The 13,618-nt window shown below is 52.4% G+C and overlaps 1 long non-coding RNA gene across 1 annotated transcript; it reads left to right on the forward strand.

The window, feature by feature from the left end:
- The first annotated feature begins 5,176 nt into the window (after positions 1–5,176).
- LINC02604 (long intergenic non-protein coding RNA 2604) lies at positions 5,177–7,354 on the forward strand. Its single transcript, NR_136637.1, has one exon. It is a non-coding gene; the product is annotated as a long intergenic non-protein coding RNA 2604 (long non-coding RNA).
- Positions 7,355–13,618: the final 6,264 nt, after the last annotated feature.

Raw genomic sequence — 13,618 nt, forward strand, 5'->3', positions numbered from 1 at the left:
TGAGGGAGTTTTCCTGCTGCTCCACTCTGTGAGGAGCTGGAGGATGATGTTCACTCATTTGCAGAGAGAGATGTCTTGTAGGCACCTTAGGATGGAGGGGACCCTGATTCCAATGTCCTTTTGTTTTTTTCTTTAGAAGCAGGACCTTGCTCTGTCACCCAGGATGGAGTTCAGTAGTCCAATCATGGCTCATTGTAACCTCAGATTTCCAGGCTCAAGCAATCCTCCCACTTCATCCTTCCCAGTAGCTGGGACTACAGGTTGGTGCCATGACACTCGGTGAATTTTGACTTTTTTTTTTTTTTTTGTAGAGATGGGCCTTGCTATGTTGCCAAGGCTGGCCTTGAACTCCTGCACTCAAGGGATTTTCCTGTGTTGGCCTCCCAAAGTACTGGTAATGCAGGCATGAGCCATTATGCCCAATGTCTCTGGTTCTTAACCTTCTGCCTCCCTCTTCCACATTTAAAGAACCCTTGTAATTACATGGGCTCACCCAGATACTGCAGGATAATCTTGTTTTAAGGTCAGCTGATTAGCAACATTAATTCCATCTGTACTCTTAATTCCCCCTTCCTATGTAATTATGCGGTGTAACATAGGACATGAGCAGTTGGGGGGTCATTACTTTGGCCACCACTGTGATACTTTGGCCACCACCATGACTATTTTGTGCCAGGTACTGAGGTAAGCACTGGTGAATTAAACATGAATAACACACACTCCCTAATCTCCATTCATTTATGGGAGGAGCACCTCGCTTCCCATGCTCCTGAGAATCTAGGGAGTCAAGGAAGACTTCCTGGAGGAGGTGGTGCTAAAGCGGACAAGTGACAGAGGAGCTGAAGCTAGCCAGGAAGAGAGTAGATAAGGGGAAGCGTATTCTAAGCAGAGGGCATCACCCACTTCGCAGGCTCGCAGAGAGAGAGAGTGGGCATTCAAGGGACAGATGAGGCTCAGTTGGACTCCACAGCAGGTAAAATGGAGAGGGGCAAGCAGTGAGGCTGCCTTGCAAGACAGGGCAGAGCAGGGCCTGTTAAGGAGTTTGGACTTAATCCCAAAGGCAAGGAGAAGTGATGTAAACAGGGGAGTAATGTGATGAGATTCACGTATGAGAGACATGGCTCACGCTGCTGTGTGGAGAAGGCACCAGGGGGAGCAGATGGCTCAGTGGGTGTGCTGGAGACCTAAAGCAGGGAACACACTGAGTTTAGGGAGAGTTTTTTAAAATAGCAGAAGTTTGAGTAATTTAAATGCTGGTGGGAAGGAGCTAAAAGCAGGGGACAGGTTAAACATACAGGGAAGTGGGAGGAAGAACTGACAAGTGAGGTTCCAGAGAGGGCAGGAGAAGAGGAGATTCTTATAGGGGGATTAGCATTCCTCTCCCCTCCTCTCCCCTCCCCTCTCCTCCCTTCCCCTCCCCTTCCCTAAGACAGGGTCTCACTCTGCTGCTCAGGCGAGAGTGTACTGGCATGATCTTGGTTCACTACAGCCTAGACTTCCCAGGTTCAAGGGATCTTCCGACCCCAGACTCCCAAGTAGCTGGAACTACAGTTGTGCACCACCACCATACCTGGCTAATTTTTTTTTTTTTTTGGTAGACACAGTGTCTCACTAAGTTGCCCAGCCTGGTCTCCAACTTTTGGCCTCAAGCAGTCCTTCTACCTAGGCTTCCCAAATTGCTGGGATTACAGGCATGAGCCACCATGCCTGGCCTCTGCTAGTTTTGTATTCTCTAGAATTGTCTGTAGTTAGTGCTAGTGTGTCACTCATTATGCTGATCCTCTGTTATAATTAATATTTTTTATATTAAAGTTACTTTTTTTTTTTTTGGTATTGGGTCTCAGTCTGTCACCAAGGCTGGAGTGCAGAGGCATGATCTCTGCTCACAGCAACCTCCACTTCGAAGGCTCAAGCAATTCTCCATCCTCAGCCTCCCAAGTAACTGGGATTACAGGTATGTGCCAGCATGCCTGGCTAATTTTTGTGCTTTTTTTGTGCTTTTTGTAGAGACAGGGTTTTGCCGTGTTTCCCAGGCTGGTCTCAACTCCTGAGCTCAAAGTAATCCACCCGCCTTGGCCTCCCAAAGCGCTGGGATTACAGGTTTGAGCCACCGTGCGCATTCCAGTTTAAACTTTTGAGCGGTTTATATGTTTTGATTGGACTCCTAGAAATACAGAATTGATGCTAGGAAGAGTACCAGGAGATAGACACATATACATGGGATTTCAGCCTTGGTTTGGTTATCCAAGGAGCAGTGCTGAGTTTCTTGCCAATGGGACATGGGATGCTGGTGATTTCCAGGAAGTGTCCTCACAATGAGTGAAGCTACCACTTACTGTTTATTGTGATGAAATGCTAGCCAAGGCATATGCCATGCGAGTTAACGGATGCTATGCTTCACCACTGTGGCAATAAAGATGACTCTGAAGAATGGCATGGGACGGAACCTTTCAAATGCACCTGAGCAGGGGTCTCCACCACAGGGCCACAGAGCTGGTGGTGAGCAGCAAAGTGAGGGGAAAATTCGTTTGTATTTATAGCCCCTCCCCATCGCTCGCATAACCACCTGAGCGTCATGTCCTGACAGGTCCAGCTACTGCCTTCCAGTGACCTCTTTAGGCTCATCTCATGCTTCACCGTGGCCTCGCCAAACCAAGCTGCTGCGTTTCAGCAGCCTCTGCAGCAGAGGCCGAGCTCTGCGTCCTGATCATCCTGATGGCCTCTTTAGGCCCAGCTCATTTCTCACAACGGCCACCTTAGGCCCAGCTTTTCCCTTTTGGTGGCCTCTCCAGGCCGAGAAATTCCTCAAGTCGGCCTCCCCCACCGCAGTTGCTGCCTCCCGGCCTCTTCTCCAGTCCCAGTCCTCTCTCGCAGCTGTGTCTACAGGCCCAGCTCCTGCCTCCAAAGAGCCTCTTTTGACTCGGCTCCTACCCAGCTCCTGGCAGCCTTTGTAGGCCTGAAATCTCTTCCAGTCCAGCACTCCATACCCAGTCTCCCCTCACAGCGGCCTTCCCAGGCCCAGCTTTTGCCTCACAGCGGCCTTCCCCGGCCATTTTCTAGCCGGCCTCGCGGTAGCCTCAACAAGCCCAGCTCCCGCCTCACACTGGCCTCTCTAGGCCCAGCTCAGGCGTCACAGTGGCGTCTCCAGGCCCAGCTCCCGCCCACCCCAACAGCGTCTCGCGGCTCAAGGCGTTCTCAAGATGGCCCTTCCAGGCCAAGTTCCTGCCTCCCGCCGATGGCCCGTGTGGGCCCAAAGCGTCCTGAAGTCGGCCTCGCCAGGCCCAGCTCCTGCCTGTCGTAGGCGCCTAGAGGCATGGCCTCTGCCTCCTCACAGTGGACCCCCCCAGACCCAGCTCTTGCTTCAGCATGGCCACCTCAGGCCAAGCTCCTGCCTTGCCTGTTGGCAGCCTCCACAGGCCCAGCTCTTGCCTCTCGCCATCCTCTCCAGGTCCAGAACTGTTTCCAGCCGGCCTCTCCAGGCCCAGCTCTCCCTCCCGGCTGTGGCTGCCGGCCCAGCTCCTGCCTCGCAACAGGCACGTTCGGCCCAACTCCTGCCCAGCTCATGGCAGCATTTGTAGGCCCCAGGCTCCTCTAAGTCAGGCCTTCCAGGCCCTGCCTTCAGCTCCCTGGCGGCCTGGAGAGGCCCAGCTCCTGCCTGACAGCGGCCTCTCCGGGCCCAGCTCTTGTCTCGCGTCGGCCTCCCCGGGACACATTTCCCCCTGCCTCGCGGCAGCCCCGAAAGACCCAGCTCCTGCCTCCTGATGGCCTCTTTAGGCTCATCTCATGCCTCACTGCAGCCTCCCCCAGGCCAGGCTCCTGCCTTTCGGCGGCTTCCGCAGGTCCGGCTCCTGCGTCCTGACGGCCTCTTTAGGCCCGGCTCGTCCCTCACAATGGCCTCTTTCAAAGGCCCAGCTTTTCCTTCGTGGCGGCCTCTCCAGGCCCAAATTGGCAAGCCTCCCCTGTCCTGGTGGCTGTCTCCCGGCCTACTCTCCAGGCCCAGCACACTCTCGCGGCTGTACCTCCAGGCCCAGCCCCTGCCTGCAGACAGCCGCTTTTGACTCGGTTCGTGCCCAGCTCCTGGCGGCCTTTGTAGGCCCGAAACCTCCTCCAGCACAGCTCTTCAGGCCCACCTGTGGCCTCGCAGCGGCCTTCCCAGGCCCAGCTCTTGCCTCACGGCGGCCTTCCCCGGCTGTATTCCTGCCAGCCTCTCGGCGGCCTCAAAAAGCCCGGCGCCTGCCTCACACTGGGGTCTCTAGGCCCAGCTCACGCCTGACGGTGGTCTCTCAAGGCCCAGCTCCCGCCCACCCCGACCGGCCCAAGGCTTTCTCAAGTTGGCCCATCCAGGGCCCAATTCCTGCCCTCCGCTGATGGCCTGTGCAGACCCAAAGTATCCTGAAGTCGGCCTCGCCGGGCCTAGCTCCTGCCTGTCATAGGCCCCTAGAAGCACGGCCTCTGCCTTCTAAAAGTGGAACCCCCCAGTCCCAGCTGTTGCCTCAGCGTGGCCACATCAGCCGAAGCTCCTGCCCTGCCTGTTGGCAGCCTCCATGGGCCAAGCTCTTGCCTCTCACCATCCTCTCCAGGCCCAGTACTGTTTCCAGCCGGCCTCTCCAGGCCCAACTCTCCCTCTCAGCTGTGCCTGCCGGCCCAGCTCCTACCTCGCAAAAGCCACGTTCGGCCCAGCTCCTGCCCAGCTCCTGGCAGCCTTTGTAAACCCCAGGATCCTCTAAGTCAGGCCTTTCAGGCCCTGCCTTTGGCTCCCCGGTGGCATGGAGAGGCCCAGCTCCTGCCTGACAGCGGCCTCTCCAGGCCCAGCTCTTGCCTCACGTTGGCCTCCCTGGGCCACGTTTCCGCCTGCCTCGCGGCAGCCCCGACAATCCCGGCTCCTGCCTCCCGATGGCATCTTTAGGCTCATCTCGTGCCTCACCACGGCCTGCACCAGGCCACACTCCTGCCTTTCGGTGGCCTCCGCGGGCCTGACTCCTGCGTCCCAATGGCCTCTTTAGGCCCGGCTCGTGCCTCGCCGCGGCCTCCTGAGGCCCACCTTTGCCCTTCTGGCAGCCTCTCCAGGCCCAGGACTTCCTCAAGTCGGCCTCTGCCAGCCCAGTGGCCGCCTCCCGGCCTCCTCTCCGGGCCCAGCTCCTTGCTCGTGGCTGCGCCCGCGGGCCCAGCTCCTGCCTCTGAACATCCTCCTGTGACTCGGCTCCTGCCCAGCTCCCAGCGGCCTCCGTAGACCCGAAGCCTCCTCCGGTCCAGCTCTCCAGGCCTGCCTCCTGCCTCGTGGCGGCCTTCCCCGGCCATGCTCGTGCCGGCTTCCCGGCAGCCTCCACGAGCCCGGCTCCTGCCTCACGCGGGCCCCTCCAGGCCCAGCTCGTGCCTCGCGGCGGCCTCTCCAGGCCCGGCTCCCGCCCAGCCCGACGGCGTCTCCCAGCCCAAGGCTCCCTTCCTCAACGTCGGCCCCTCTGGGCCCAGCTCCTGCCTCCCGCTGATGGCCTGTGCGGGCCCACCCGAGGCGGCCCGAAGTCGGCCTCGCCAGGCCCAGCTCCTGCCTGGCGTAGGCCCCTGGGGGCACGGCCTCTGCCCCACAGTGGCCCCTCCGGGCCCAGCTCGTGCCTCGGCTTGGCCGCCTCAGGCCCAGCTCCTGCCTGTGGGCGGCCTCTCTCCAGACCCGGCTCTCGCCTCCCGGCATCCTCTCCAGGCCCAGAGCTGTTTCCAGTTGCTAGACCATTTTTGTGCCTGCCTCGTTGCAGCATCTCCAAGCCCAGCTTTTGCTTTTCTGCAGTTTCTTGAGGCCGAACTCCATTTTTCGAATGGCTTATTTAGGCCCAGCTCTTGCGTTTGCATTGTCCCTTCAGGCCCAGAACTTTCTCACGTCATCGTCACCAGGCCTAGCTTCTGCATCTGGTCAGCCTTTTAAGGCCCAGCTTTTGCCTCATAAACTCAGCTCCTGTTTAATGGCGGCCTCCCAGGTCCCACCTTCTGCCTTCCTGTGTCCACTCCAGGCCCAGCTACTGCCTTGGTGCTCTTTTTAAGTCAATAATTTTTTCCAGTCGACCTCTCCAGGCCCAACTTGTACCTCTGAGTGTCCTCTAGGATCTCAGCTTCTGCCTAACAATGACCTCTTTAGACTCAGCTCATTTTCACTGCTACATCTTCAAGCCATTCTCCTGCCTCTTGGCAACCTCTAGTGGCCCAGCTTCTGCCTCACAGCAGCCTCTCCATGCATGCCTAGCTCCTGCCTCTTTAGGGAACTTACAGGCCTAAAACTTTCTTAATTTGGGCTTCTCAGGCCCAGCTCCTGCCTTCTGTTGGCCTCTACAGGCCTGGCATCATCCTTTCAACAGCCTCTTTAGGCCCGGCCTCTCCAGGACCAAAACATCCTTAAGTCAACCTCACCAGGCCCGGCTCCTGTCTCCTTGCGGCCTCCAGAGGCCGAGCTTTTGCCTGCCAATGGCCTCTCTAGCCCCAGCTTTTGCCTGCCAATGGCCTCTCTAGCCCCAGCTTCTGCCTTTCATCGGTCTCTCCAGGCTTAGCTCCTTTCTCTTCACGGCCTCTGCAGGCCTAAAACTTCCTCAATTTGGCATCTCCAGGCCCAGCTCCTGCCTCCAGGCCGCCTCTGCAGGCCTATCTCAAGCCTTACAACAGCCTCTTTACCCCCAGCTCCTTTCTCCGACTTGTCTCTCCAGGCCTAGAACTTCCTCATGTTTACCTCACCAGGCCCACCTCCTGCCTTCCAGTAGCGTCTACAAGTTTGGCTCCTGCCTCCCATGGATCTCTCCAGGCCCCAAACTTTCTCAAGTCAACCTCACCAGGCCCGGCTTCTCCCTTTCATCAGCCTTCCAAAGGCCAGCTTTTGCTTCATGTCTGCCTTCCGAGTCCCAGCTCCTGTTTTATGGCAGCCTCCTGAGGCCCAGCTCCTGCCTCCTAGTGGCCTCTTTTGGCCCAACTCTTTCCTCACCAGGGCCTTCCAGACCACGTTCCTGCCTTTTAGCAGCCACTACAGGCCCAGCTTTGCGTCCTTTCAAGAGTCCTGCCTCACAGTGGCCTCCCAAGGGCAACTTTCTGCCTCATGTCAGCCTCTTGTGCCCTGGTCCTGCTTCCTGGTAGACTCTGCAGGCCCTGCTCCTGCCTTACGTTGCCCCTTTTATAAAGATCCAGTTCCTGCCTCCTGGCTGCCTCTATGAGCCCAAATCCTGCCTAACAACAACCTGTTTTTGCCCAGCTCCTGCTTCCTGGCAGCCTCCTTAGGCCAAAAATTTCCTTCAGTTGACCTCTCCAGGCCCAGCTCCTGCCTCTCAGCACCCTCTTTAGGCCCAGCTCCTGCCTTAATAAATTTGAATAAATTATTGTTATGTGATTATTATGTGAAACATTTTTTCTTCAAAAGGTAATGAAAATTGAGGTAAAGTATAAAAGTCTAGCATATAAATTCCTCTATTGTCACCCTTCGTATTAGTCACAGTTCTCTAAAGGAGCAGAACTGTTAGGATAGATGTATATATATAAGGGAGTTTCTTAAGGGGTATTAACTCACAGGATCACAAGGTTCCACAATAGGCTGTCTGCAAGCTGAGGAGCAAGGAAGCCATTCTGAGTCCCAAACCTGAAGAACTTGGAGTCCGATGTTCTAGGGCAGGAACCATCCAGCATGGGAGAAAGATGTAGGCTCGGAGGCTAAGCCAGTCTCACCTCTTTATGTTCCTCTGCCTCATTTTTATTTTTGCCACACTGGCAGCTGATTAGATTGTGCCCACCTAGTTTAAGGGCGGGTCTGCCTTTCCCAGCCCCCTGACTCAAATGTTAATCTCCTTTGGCAACACCCTCACATACACACCCAGGAACAATACTTTGCATCCTTCAGTCCAATAGAGTTGACAGTCAATATTAACCATCACAAGTTCACCCCTTGTCAACTTTAACCCATACACATCTTCTGAAATTATACATAATCTTCAAATAAAGATAATAATAAGGTCATAATTGTGCCTAAGATAATAATAAAAGTATTCTTCATACAACTGGAAATGCACCAATCCTGAACCCAAATGCCCTTATATAAAACTAACACTTAGATGCTTATATGAAGTCAATATAAGTTATTCACACAATAAAGGAAAAAGGAAATGAAATATTCTTAGTACAAGCTTATATATGCACAAACATGTTTTTAACAAAAGGAGGAAATACTCATGACAATTACAGTCCTCGTTTCTGTAGCTGGTCACATGGTCATAGCTGGTATTGATGACTGCCTTTTTCTATTACCCATTCTGTATTCTTTTTGCCTTCAGAAAGCATCTCAGCAGGTTTTTTCCTGGAGTGACCCAAGCCTTCATTCCTGAAGGGTCTGGGCCATTTGTAGTCCTGCCTGGGTTGGGCTGTTATAGTTTCCCATTGACCTTAATCACAGGGCATCTCCTGTATTCCATGCATATTCTTCCTTACCTCCATTGTGGAGTAGTAGACTGATTTCATCTTGATAGTCTGGGTCAATCATCCCAGAAGGTTGTAACTCCCTTCTTAGCCTGTTGATTTAAAAGTGGCAGGACCCCAAAGTGTCCAGGTGGCAATCGTAACTTCCAGTTTAATGGAATCGTTGTGTCTCCTGGTGGCAGCTTTCTTCCCTCTGGATCTAAGACCTCTAGACCAGCAGAATGTAATGTTGTGGGAACAGGTAGCCAAAATTTTCTAGTGGATCACTAGGGGTGATGGTGAGTGATGCCACTTCCACTTCCACCCCTTGATTCCTGGACCTGTGAATCCTGGCTATGGGATAAACAATGCCATATATTGGATGCTGATTCAGAGCAGACATGGCCTTCTGGAGAAATTTGCCCCAGCCCCGCAGAGTATTATCACCTAGTTGGCATTGTAATTGTGACTTCAAAAGGCCATTCCACCATTCTATCAATCCAGCTGCTTCGGGATGGTGGGGAACATGGTGGGATCAGTGAATTCCAAGAGCATGAGCCCACTGTCACACTAGCTGTAAAGTGAGTGCCTTGGTCAGAGGCAATGCTGTGTGGAATACCATGACGGTGGATAAGGCATTCCGTGAATCCACAGATGGTAGTCTTAGCAGAAGCATTGCGTGTAGGATAGGCAAACTCATATCTGGAGTGTCCATTCCAGGGAGGAGAAACCTCTGCCCTTTCCATGATGGAAGAAGTCCAATATAATCAATCTGCCACCATGTAGCTGTGTGATCACCCAAGGAATGATGCCATATCAAGGGCTCAGTGTTGGGCACTGCTGCTGGAAAATGGGGCACTCAGCAGTGGCTGTAGCCAGGTCTGCCTTGGTGAGTGAAAGTCCATGTTGCTGAGAAAGTCTATCCCTGCCACCATGGCCACTTTGTTTATGAGCCCATTGGGCGATGGCAGTGGTGACTGGGGAAAAGGCTGAGTGGTGTCTACAGAATGAGGCACCCTGTCCACTTGATTATTAAAATCCTCCTCCGCTGAGGTCACCCTTTGGTGAGCACTCACATGAGATACAAATATCTTGACTGTTTCTGACCACTCAGAGAGGTCCATCCACATACTTCCCCAAATTTCTTTGTCACCAGTTTTCCAATCATGCTTCTTCCAAGTCCCTGGCCATAGAGCCAAACCATTGGCTACAGCCCATGAGTCAGTATATAATCGCACACCTGGCCATTTCCTTCCATGCAAAGTGCACAACCAGGTGCACTGCTTGAAGTTCTGTCCACTGGAAAGATTTTTCTTCACTGCTGTCCATAAGGGATGTCCCAGAAAGGGGCTGTAGTGCTGCAGCTGTCCATTTTTGGGTGGTGCCTGCATATCGTGCAGAACCACCTGTGAACCAGCCCCTAGTCTTCTCTTCCTCTGTCAACTGATCATAGGGAACTCCCCATGAGGCCATCATTTCAGGCTGGGGAAGAGAAGATAGGGTGGCAGGAGTGGAGACCACGAGCATTTGAGCCACTTCCTCATGTAACTTACTTGTGCCTTCAGGACCAGCTGGAGCCCGATCACATATATACCACCTCCATCTGATGATGGAATGCTGCTGTGCACGACCCACTTTATGGCTAGGTGGGTCAGAAAACACCAGTTCATGACAGGTAGTTCAGGTCTCATGGTGACTTGATGACCCATAGTCAAATGTTCAGTTTCCACCAAAGCCCAGTAATAAGTGAAGAGCTGTCTCTCAAAAGGAGAGTAGTTATATGCAGAAGATGGCAGGGCCTTGCTCCAAAATCCTAGAGGCCTATGGGGGTCTGCCAGAGGCTCCAAACACCATCCCTATCTGCCACTGACACCTCAAGCACCACTGGGTCCGCTGGGTCATATGGCCCAAGTGGCAGAGCAGCTTGCACAGTGGACTGGACCTGTTGCAGAGCCTTCTCCTGTTCTGGACCCCACTTCTGGTACCAAAATGTGTATTAGGGTCCAGGGTCCACTAAAGGGACAGAACTAATAGAATATATATATATATATATGAATTTATTAAGGGGTATTAACTCAATCACAAGGTCCCATCACAGGCCATCTGCAAGCTGAGGAGCAAGGAAGCCAGTTTGAGTTCCAAAGCTGAAGAACTTGGAGTCCGATGTTTGAAGGCAGGAACCATCCAGCACAGGAGAAAGATGTAGGCTCAGAGGCTAAGCCAGTCTAATCTCTTCACGTTCTTCTGCCTACTTTTTATTGTGGCCTCGCTGGCAGCTGATTAGATGGTGCCCACCTGGATTGAGGGTAGGTCTGCGTCTCCCAGTCCACTGACTCAAATGTTAATCTCCTTTGGCAACACCCTCACAGACACACCCAAGAACAATACTTTGCATCCTTCAATCCAATCAAGTTGACACTCAATATTAACCATCACACCCCTCCTCCTTTCCCCAATTCCCACCACAAAAGCATAATAATTTGTCCAAAGAGTCCTACACTTAGTCCTTCTCTGAACAAAATGCCGGGTGGTTGTAGGCTGAGTGTCACTCCTTTATCACGTCTCCTCAGTTTTTTTTTTTATTTTTGAGACAGGGTTTCCCTCTTGCCCAGGCTGGAGTGCAGTGACACAATCCTAGCTCACTCTAGCCTTCAATCCTGGGTTCCAAATGATCCTCCCCCTTCCGCCTCCTGAGTAGCTGGGACTACAGCTACTTAACCACTATGAACCACTTCTGGCTCATTTTTAAATTTTTTATAGATACGGGGTCTCACTAGATTGCTCAGGCTGATGTGGAACTCCTGGCCTCAAGCGATCTGCCCACCACAACCTGGTTCAAGCGATTCTGCCTCTGCCTCCCAAGTAGCTGGGATTACAAGTGCGCACAACCATGCCCAGCTAACTTTTGTATTTTTAGTAGAGATGGGGTTTCACCATGTTAGCCAGGATGGTCTCGATCTCCTGACCTCGGCCTCCCAAAGTGCTGGGATTACAGACATGACAGTGTTTTAATTGCCCATTTTAATTTTCAATTAACCTGAGAGTTTGAGAGTGATAAAGAATGTGATAAGTCCATCGAATATGCTGGTTCTTTGCTCATTGTTGCTCGGCATGGGCTGTGGATTGAGTGTCTTGATCTGGGAAAACGTAACTGAGAGTGCCAAACCAATATGGCTATCAAAGCCAAACAGACCAGGTGTGATCACTCATGCCTGTAATCCCAGCACTTTGGAAAGCTGAGGCAGGAGGATCACTTGAGCCCAGGAATTTGAGACCAGCCTGGGCAACATAGTGAGACCCTATTTCTACAAAAAAATTAAAAAATTAGCTAGGCTTGGTGGCATGCACTGGTAGTGCCAGCTACTCAAGAGGCTGAAGTGGGAGGATCGCCTGAGCCTCTGAAGTTGAGGCTGCAGTAAGCTGTGATTGCACCTCTGTACTCCTGCCTGGGCAACAGGTGATACCCTGCCTGTAAAAACTAAAAATAATTAAAAAATAAAAACAAAGCCAAACTCAGAGTATGCATGCAGACCTGTCGGTGTCCATTTAATTTCTCTTGGAAAAATGGGTAAAGGGCCAGTATCATCTACTTGCCAGCTGTGGGCTGGACTTCCTCCCCAGGAAATACTCCCAGACCTAACTGCAAACATAACCTTTTCTGTTGGTAAACAGAGCAATGTTTAGTAAACATTTGAACTTCTGCAGGGAAAGTACTACATGGTGCTCAGCCCCTCACTTCATGGCACGAGTGCCCCGGGCCCACTCATTTTATGGACCCACATTGCTACTTTATGAGATTGAAGTAGGGCAGGTGCAGTTGCTCAAGCCTGTAATCCCAGTACTTTGGGAAGCTGAAGCAGTAGAATTGCTTGAGGTCAGGAGTTTGAGACCAGCCTGGGCAACATAGGGAGACCCCATCTCTACTAAAAAAAAAAAAATTAGCTGGGTGTGGTGGCACATGCCTGTGGTCCCAGCTACTTGGGAGCCTGAGATGGGAGGATCTACTTGAATTTGGAAGGTTGAAGCTGCAGTGAGCTGTGATGGTGCTACTGCACTCCAGCCTGGGCAACAGAGCAAGACCCTGCCTCAAAAATAAATAAATAAAATGAACTAAGGGGCCAGGTGCAGTGGCTCATGCCTGTAATCCCAGTACTTTGGGAGGCCGAGGCAGGTAGATCGTTTGAGGTAAGGAGTTTGAGACCAGCCTGGCCAACATGATGAAACCTTGTCTCCACTAAAATACAAAAGTTAGCAGGATGTGGTGGTGCATGCCTGCAATCCCAACTATTCAGGAGGCTGAGCCAGGAGAATCACTTGAACCCAGGAGGCGGAGGTTGCAGTGAGCCAAGATCGCTCCACTGCACTCCAGCCTAAGTGACAGAGTGAGACTCCATCTCATAAAAAAATAAACTAGGTATTCACTTGTTGATTCTGGCCACCTTCAGACCCTGGCATAAGGCTTCTTTTGGTGAGCATTGACATGCCCTGCTTTGATTTGCCTTTTATTTTATTTATTTTATATATATTTTCAGAGACGGGGTTTTGTTCTGTTCCCCAGGCTGGAGTGCAGTGGTACGATCATAGCTCACTGCAGCCTCAACCTCCTGGACTCAAGCGATTCTCCTCCCTCAGCTCCCCAAGTACCTGGGACCACAGGCGTGTGCGACTATACCTGGCTAATTTTTTTTTTTTTATTTTGTAGAGATGGAGTCCTGCTATGTTGCCCAGGCTTGTCTCCAACTCCTGGCCTCAAGCAGTCCTCCCATCTTGGTCTCTCAGAGTGCTGAGACTATAGGCATGAGCCACTGCACCTGGTCTCACTTGCCTTTTAAATTCCCATGGAGGTTTCCCAAGGGCAGTAGTCCACAAGGGGATGCATTGTATTCTCCAGTAACGTAAGAACCCACTTAAGCCACATTGCAAGTCCACTGACAAGTGTCAATCTGCAGCCAACCAATGGGTCCTTTATCTGTGTCCAGTTCATCAATTACTGCGCTGAATATAGCCCCTGGGTCAGCTTGTGTTTGCCAATCTCCTGGACTCAGGTAGCAGCTCTCCATGTTGATCTATGGCCTGTGATTCTGAAACTGTAATCTGTGGGCCAGCCAGTTGCCTGGAATCCTCTGGCAATTGGTTGAACAGAGGGGTACATATGGCAATAGTAGCAGGCAGGTCCCTGGACATCTCTAGAGTAAGTCCTAGGAGGAGA

The sequence above is a fragment of the Homo sapiens genome, chromosome 7 (genome assembly GCF_000001405.40).
Source record: "Homo sapiens chromosome 7, GRCh38.p14 Primary Assembly".
NCBI classification, from domain to species: domain Eukaryota; kingdom Metazoa; phylum Chordata; class Mammalia; order Primates; family Hominidae; genus Homo; species Homo sapiens.